The sequence below is a fragment of the Homo sapiens genome, chromosome 7 (assembly GCF_000001405.40).
Source record: "Homo sapiens chromosome 7, GRCh38.p14 Primary Assembly".
Lineage (NCBI taxonomy): Eukaryota > Metazoa > Chordata > Mammalia > Primates > Hominidae > Homo > Homo sapiens.
Genome location: NC_000007.14, coordinates 24746322 through 24754588, shown reverse-complemented (window position 1 = coordinate 24754588; position 8267 = coordinate 24746322). Strand labels below are relative to the sequence as shown.

At 41.3% G+C, this 8267-nt stretch overlaps 1 protein-coding gene across 5 annotated transcripts in view; it reads left to right on the top strand.

Moving 5' to 3' along the window:
• The window catches only part of GSDME (gasdermin E), a 97185-nt gene that overhangs the window by 40951 nt on the left and 47967 nt on the right, over positions 1–8267 (top strand). For 3 of the 5 annotated variants that reach the window (XM_024446670.2, NM_004403.3, NM_001127453.2), the window contains one exon: positions 4796–5025. The exons of the other annotated variants lie outside the window; for them this stretch is intronic. In XM_024446670.2, coding sequence (XP_024302438.1) covers positions 4815–5025 — 211 coding nt within the window. In that variant the 5' untranslated portion in view covers positions 4796–4814. The remainder of the gene's footprint in view (positions 1–4795; positions 5026–8267) is intronic. 5 annotated transcript variants of the gene reach the window in all.

Below are 8267 nucleotides of genomic sequence, written 5' to 3'. Positions count from 1 at the left end.
TATCCTTACTGCATTTGCTTTGGCCTTTTTAGTTCTCATCTGCTTTCAGCTGGGAAGCCAGACTAAGGACTGTTTGCTAATACAACTTTTTTTTTTTTTTTTTGAGACAAAGTTTCGCTCTTGTTGCCCAGGCTGGAGTGCAATGGCAGGATCTTGGCTCACTGCAACCTCTGCCTCCCAGGTTCAAGTGATTCTCCTGCCTCAGCCTCCCGAGTAGCTGGGATTACTGCCTGCCACCATGTCTGGCTAATTTTTGTATTTTTAGTACAGACCGGGTTTCACCATGTTGGGCCAGGCTGGTTTCAAACTCCTGACCTAGGTGATCCGCCCCACCTCGGCCTCCCAAAGTGCTGGGATTACAGGCATGAGCCACCAGGCCCGGCTGCTAATATAACTTTTAAGGCTCTGTGCGAGAGTCCGTGATCTATGTAACAACTGTGAAGTGCAGTGAGTTTTTAGGCCATGAGCTATTTGAGCATGATGCCTCCTGAGGCCATTTTCATCTTCTCCCAAATTGGAGCATTGTGAAAATGTTAATCCAGAGTCTGACTTTTGGCTGAGACATGACTGTGCTTGTCTGTGTCGGGCAACTTGAGTTCTAGATCCTTCATTCATTTGGACCTGGCCATACTCTTTAATCTTTCCTGGCTGACTAGTTATCTTATGTGTTTGAGAATGATGGTGGCAGTGTATTGTCCCCTAATGCTGCATGATAAACTCTGTTGTTCCTAGCCTATATTTTGGTAGATTTATTATATCAAACATTCCTGGAAATAAAGCCAAAAAAAGCAAGAATAGAAAATGAGCAAAGGATACAGTTAAATACAGAAAGTCTTTCAACAAAATAAAAGATGCTTGATTTTATTTGTTTTAAAATAACACAACCTAAAACTAGGCTGAGATTCCATTTCTCACCTATCAGACTTGCAAAAATCCAAAAGTCTAATGATACACTGTTGCTAAGATGGATACTTTTGTACATTATTGGTCAGACTGCAGAATAGCACAACTCCTACAATTACAGATGCATTTACCCATTGTTCTAGCAATCTCTTTTCTAGGGATCTACCCTTCAGATACATTTGTTTGTTTATGAAGAGGACATCCGTATGGGGTATTTCCTGGGGACAGCTTTAATATAACACAAATTTAGAAATAACCCAAGTGGTCAGCAACATGGGACAAGTAAAATGCGCAATGATACATCTGCATAAGGGAGTATGTGGCAGAAAGCAAGATGCTGAGCAGTGTTCAGACTCCTTTTAACTACACCTCTATAAAGAAATATGAAGGAAATATGGCTGAAGGGGAGAGGAGTGAAAGGGTTGCTGGGGCCTGGGCAGGAATGGGATTTCTCAATGTGTATCCTTTACATCATTTAGATTTTTGAACCGTGTAAGTATAATTCACATGTAATAGTAATAAAGAAACCTCCAACTTTAACTTCACCAGGAGAATATTCTGAGTCCCATGATTAAAAAGTCTGAGTCTAATAAACAAAGCAATAAATAGCCACCTCCAGTTACTCTCCTTAAAGCACCCTACCCTGCCAAGAAGGCAAATTAGCTGTTTGATGTTAGATGGAAAAAAAAAAAACATGAAAAATTAATTTAGGAATTTCCTCTTTTTTACCGTCTAATCCCTGTGGGGGAGGATTGGTGTCTTTACTAAGGTTTTCCCACCCACAGCAGATGGGTTTTATTTTGTTTTTTAATGGCAAGCCTGATTTGGTTTCTACAGAAACCTGTGTGATCTGAAGGCAAGTGCGTGAGTGAACTCCCTTTCAGCTTGTCCCAGAAAAGAATTAGAAGCCATAACAGTGGAGATCCTGACAGCAGTGGTAAACTAAAGCAGTTGTTCTGTGGCTCTTTTCCTGGACTAGCAGGACGAGTTCTCACAGGCCCTCAGGGAGACCCAGTCCCATGTTTGGCAAAGTAAATCTGTTCCTTTCAAATTCCCTCTCTTGGTAACTGGCTTTTCCTTCTCATCTCCCAGCCTGCACCTGGGATACCAGCATGACACCCCAGGGAGCCTTCTTTCTTTCATCACCACCCTTCACCAAGCGAGTGTCTTTTCTATCCTTATGCCACTGACATAGTCCAGAGCGTTGTCATCTTTGTCCATCTCTAATCTTGTTCCCCTGCAGTCCCTTTGCTATTTTGCTTCTAGAAGATTTTTCTAAGGGATCATTCTGATCACAGATCCTCCAGTGGCACCTGCTTCCCTGGCTGCCCTGCAGGAGAGGCAGGACATGGATTGGGGGCCTCCCCAGCTTTGTCTCTGGCCCTTCTCCACTCTGGAATGCTGCATTCCAGTGCAAGAGTCAAGCTCAGAGCTTGACCAGTCTTTCCAGTCTGTCAAAGTGGTGGATGGCAGATCAATACAACACAATGTCTCCTGGGCCATCTCAAGCTCACTGGTAACCCATTTGCTTGGCACTGTCTTCCCCATCCCTCCATCACCTCCTGCAAATTTTGTGCTTTCATAATGGCTGCTCCTCAGCTACAGCATCCATATAGTGCTCCTTTGCCTGGCTTACTTCTACTTAGCCTACACAATGCAGCTTGGATGTCATCGACTTCAGGAGGACTTCTGTGACAGTATGCCTCTCTCCAATGAGATTTAGATGCCTTTTTCTTGGTTCTTTCCCTGGAACAATCTCTGCCAGTAGCTAACATAAAACTAAGCTGTTTATTTCTCCATCTGGCCACCAAACTAGTAGCTCATTGAGGAGAGAAATTATTTTTTGTTTCTGTATCCTAAGTGCTTCAACACAGTAGTATAGTAGGTACTCAAGAAAAATTAGTGAATGATTCAGTTGATGATTTGGTAAATAAATAAATGAGTATTCCATTGAATGCAAGATTCTTATGCATAGCATAGTGACAGATAAATTACAGATGACAGCCTGAGCATCCTTAGTCATGCTGCTTTGCAGTTCACCTTATCAGAAAGGAACTTCCTTGCATATTTTAGAATTTTTTCCTTAAATGTTCATTCCTAGTGTTAATATACAAGAACAGGGTCAGGTAGCTACTGCTTCATAATAATCTAAGAAAAGATACTGTACAAAAGAACCAGTGATCGATAAGACAAATGATTTCCCATGCCCCGAAAGAGATTCATGTTAAGGTGGATTGAGCTAAAGTCTGAGCTTATTCTCATCTCTTAAATCCTAAGAGCTGTGTGACTGTGCAACTGTGCCAAGCGCCAGGGTGCAAGCAAAAATAAAAAGCAGTTCTTGTGCATTAGAGCTTTTCATTTTGACCATGGATAGTTTGTAAAAATGTTATTTTCTTCTTTTTGTATGTGGTAACTTATTATACATGCGTGTATATATATATTGGGCTATGTGCAATTTGTGTATTGTGAATGGTTTAGAACCATTGCCTATGTTTCTCTTGGAGTACAGTATTTTAAAACTTGATTTATGAAAGTTTTTAAAAAATATGTTAAGCATTTTTGTTCCCTCTCATAAATATTACAATTATTTTCTCAGTTTGCCCTTTGTCTTTCTAAAGGCCCTTCTCATCCTGCGATTGTACAAATATTTCTCTATTTTTTCTAGTACTTTCACAGTTTCATTTTTCCTCAAAGAAACCTCTTGATTTCATTGGGAATTTGCTTTATTTATGGTATGGGAGAGGAATTCAGTTTTTTTCTTTCCAGATAGTTAGCCCATTGTTCCAACAGCATTTATTAAATAGTCTATACTGCTTCTCTTGAGTGTAATATTTTCCTTTTTATATCTTCCAATGTATCTCTTCTTTTCTCCTCCTGCTAAAGTATGACTGTGCCTTTATTTTCTGGGTTAAAAAGCCATAGCTACTTACTTTTCATTATCTGAATATGAGAAATCACACAGTGTAGAGAAAAAGCACCTTTGACCCTTCAAATAAGTAGTCATAAGTAAGCTATCTATTATGATAGTCAGTAGGTTGTTGTTCAACAAATATTCCCAGCTCTCTGCCTTTTTGAGACAAAATCTTGCACTGTCACCCAGACTGGAGTATGGTGACGTGATCATGGCTCACTGCAGTTTTGAACTCCTGGGCTCAAGCAATCCTCCCACCTCAGCCTCCCAAGTAGCTGGGACTACAGCTGTGCGCCACCACACCCAGCTAATTTTTTAATTTTTAATTTGGAGTTTTGCTATGTTGCCCAGGCTGGTCTCCAATTCCTGGACTCAAGCAATCCTCCCACCTTGGCCTCCCAAAATGCTGGGATTACAGGTGTCACCCACCATGCCCAGTCTGCCTTCTGGATTCTTGATAAAATTGTATTTTCTGGCCCTTATTGTTGGTTGAAGCCATGTGACTAGTTCTGACAAGTTATAAACGATCTGCCTTGTGTCACTTTGGGGCCAGATCATTTAATTGCTGGTGTGAGACCTTCCAAAACTCTTTCCTGTTGGATAATGATTGACAGTGTTCAAGATGCTGGCTTTCCCTTCAGTCTGGATCCCTGAATAACCATAATAAACAAAACTCTCTTGTACCCCTGTATTGTGCATGTAGTATGAGCAACAAATAAACCCTTATTGTAATAAACCACTAAGACTTAGGGATTGTTTCTGAAGCGTAACCTAGCATATCCAGACTGGTATATATATGTTCTTTCAATATCTCTATTTGAGTTCTTTATTATCAGCTAAAGTCAAACTAGAGGGTCTTCTAGGAAGAAGATATTCTTTCATGTGAACTGTTGTGAATAGGGAGAAATACAGTAATTTTAGGGAAAAAAGCCACAAAATAGTAACTTCTTATTTGATTTTAGGATAACTTTACTTTTTCAGATAATCTGGAGCTTTCAAAATGTTTGCCAAAGCAACCAGGAATTTTCTTAGAGAAGTTGATGCTGATGGTGACCTGATTGCAGTATCAAATCTGAATGACTCTGATAAGTTACAGCTTCTAAGTCTGGTGACAAAAAAGAAGAGATTCTGGTGCTGGCAGAGACCCAAGTACCAGTTTTTATCCCTCACCCTTGGCGATGTACTCATAGAAGACCAATTTCCGAGTCCAGGTATGTTTCCTTGGGTATATTCTATAATTAGTCTCGGAAAGGATGATCCTTTTTTTTTTTTTTTTTGACACAGAGTCTCTGTCGCCCATGCTGGAGTGCAGTGGCGTGATCTTGGCCCATTGCAACCTCTGCCTCCCAGGTTCAGGTGATTCTCCTGCCTCAGCCCCCTGAGTAGCTGGGATTACAGGCACCCACCACCACGCCCAGCTAATTTTTGTATTTTTAGTAGAGACAGTGTTTCACCGTGTTGGCCAGGCTGGTCTCAGACTCCTAACCTCAAGTGGTCCACCCACCTCGGTCTCCCAAAGTGCTGAGATTACACACATCAGCCACCATGCCTGGTCGATGATTCTTCTTTAATGCAAGTATTGCCTTGAGTCCAGATACTTTATAATGAATTCTCCTGTTTCTTTGCTTGTCATCTTAAAAACATATCCTTTCTTAAAATGAACAAAATTCTGCAGGCCTGACGTGACACATTATAGCTTAACCTTTTAAAAATAATTTTGCGGTATAGTATAAAAGTAAGACATGCTTACTGTACATGTTGTGGCCACTCAGCATAAGTGGGGTGGATCACCTACCCCAAATGTGGTTTGGTGTTGAACTGATGATGCCACATACCCATCAAGAAGGTGTGAAAATTTTTGTCATTCACATAATGATGCTTTCTGGGGAAAGCAGGACAGTCTCTAAAGCTGGTCCAAAAATGGCCACAGAGAAGGGGATAAGGAGATGGGCTCAGCTTTTATTGTGATTAGTGAATGGAGATGGGCATTGGTCCCTGCATGGGGGATGGGCTTATGTGGTTTGAGCTTTCACTGACACCATGGACAGAGCACCTGGAATCTCTTATCAGCTTGTCCAGATGTGCAAAAGAAAGAGAAGGAGGAGTGGGGTCTCAGAAGCTGAGAGCAGTCAGACATAAAAAATGGGGTCAGACAGATGTATTGTTACAGTACGGTATAAAATATAGAAAGGGATGAAGAAGAAAATTTAAAAATAAAAAATTCTACCATCATGTGTTAATTCCCGTTGACACTTGGTTTGTAGCCTTTTATTTCTCTGCATCTGATTTTTAATAACGAAACTGAAAATATACTGTAGGCCGGGCGTGGTGGCTCATGCCTGTAATCCCAGCACTTTGGGAGGCCGAGGCTGGTGGATTACAAGGTCAGGAGTTCAAGACCAGCCTGGCCAACATGGTGAAACCCCATCTCTACTAAAAATATAAAAATTAGCCGGGCAAGGTGGTAGGCACCTGTAATCCCAGCTACTTAAGAGGCCGAGGCAGGAGAATCGCTTGAACCCAGGCAGCAGAAGTTGCAGTGAGCCAAGATTGCACCACTGCACTCCAGCCTGGGTGATAGAGTGAGATTCCATCTCAAAAAAAAATATATATATATATATATATATATACTCTATATAATTTTTATACACTCCTTATTTTTTTACTTAACATTAAGTTTAAATAAATATTTAATTAGGTTTAAATATTTTTAAATACAATTTTCAACAAACACATAATATTCCTTTGAGTGTATGTACCCTAATTTGCTTAACCACTACAATTTAGTGCTTAATAAATAATGTTGGGGCTGGGTGCAGTGGCTTATGCCTGTAATTCCAGCACTTTGGGAGGCCGAGGTGGGCGGATCGCTTGAGCCCAGGAGTTTGAGGCTAGCCTGGGCAACGTGGCAAACCCCATCTCTACAAAAAAATAGAAAAATTAGCCAGGCATGGTGGCATACACGTGTAGTCCCAGCTACTCAAGAGGTTGAGGTGGGAGGATCGCTTGAACCCAGGGGGTTGAGGCTGAAGTCAGCCATGATTGTGCCACTGCATTCCAGCCTGGGCAACAGAGTCCCTGTCTCCAAAATAAGAAAAAAAAAATGATTAATAAGTAAGGCTGCAATGAGCATTTTTATGTGCATTTTTGTTGTAGTTTTTTAGGCAACTGCTTTAGCGTAAATTCTTAGAGAATTACTGGAGCAGAGGATGGAAACTTTTTGAACACTTGGTACTTACTCATTGCTACATTACTTTTTTGAATGTGGTGATATATGAAAATATCTTCAGCTCTTAATTATTGGACAAAATGATGTCTGAATCCTCTTTCAGCTCTAGAATTCTCTAATTTTGTGATTGCGTCTCTGTTAAAGGGGAAAAGAGGTAGAGGAGATAATTTGAGTTTACAGATAATCTTCAAACTTTCTTCCAGGAAACGATTCCAGCCAGTGCTGTCTCCAGTCAGCTCATCAGAGCTGTCACACAATAGGCAAATGAATTGATATTAATTTTACATCACCCTCCCCTTCAGGAATCTGTGTGCTTTCTGGCAGAACTTCTATCGAACGGTGAAATAACTAAATATGAAAAGGAATAAGAGGGTAAAAAATGACAAAATAGACCAGGAACTCCTGAGTAATTGGAGTTTTACCGTTCTGTGATGTGAAATGCCTCTTTTGTGGTGTCCTGAAAGATCACAAAGACTTGTGCTGGATTGGTGAGGCCAGTGGCGGTCACTGCAGGTGAAGAATCCCCGAGCATGCTCATCTGGGGTCAGAGCTCATCCTGGATTCTGTGTCCTGTTGGTGTTAGGGCGGTGACGAGAAGCGTCTTCTACTTTGTCTACTGGGTAGAGTCAGGATGCTTCACCTTTGTTATTTTTTCCCACTCGCAGCCTCACTGGCATATGTGTTGCCCAGGGCTGTGAAGGGTGTAGGGTGGTGACTGGTGTTGGCAGTCCAAGTGATGGCCTGTTGGTCCCCTCATTTCTTCCCTTCCACCAACAGCAGTTGACAGCTTGATGCAGAAGTGTGCACAAATGACATCTTCTTCGGAGGTGTGTCTAGAGTGGCTTTTCAGAACACACAGACAAATCTTGACTGTTCCTTCCTGCTGTGGATCAAGTCTTGGGGACAGGGTTTCCAGGAGTGGTAATAAGCCTAAGACCAGACCTGTGTCCTGAAGATAAAATTTCTGTCTTTGCTGTACTTTGTAGAACCTAGGACTGTCCTGTTTATTAGAAAATGATATTTCTGTGGCCTAAACACAGTGGAGAGATTGAGCCTTTGCTATGTGTGAGACTCTACCTTACATGCTTTCCATATATAAACCCGCAGCAGAACCCGTCAGGTAGCTATCATTAATTATCTCCAAATTGCTCATGAAAGTCTGAGGTTCAGGGAAATGAATGTTACCCAAATTCTCCCGGTTAGTAATATTAGAGTAGGGATAGA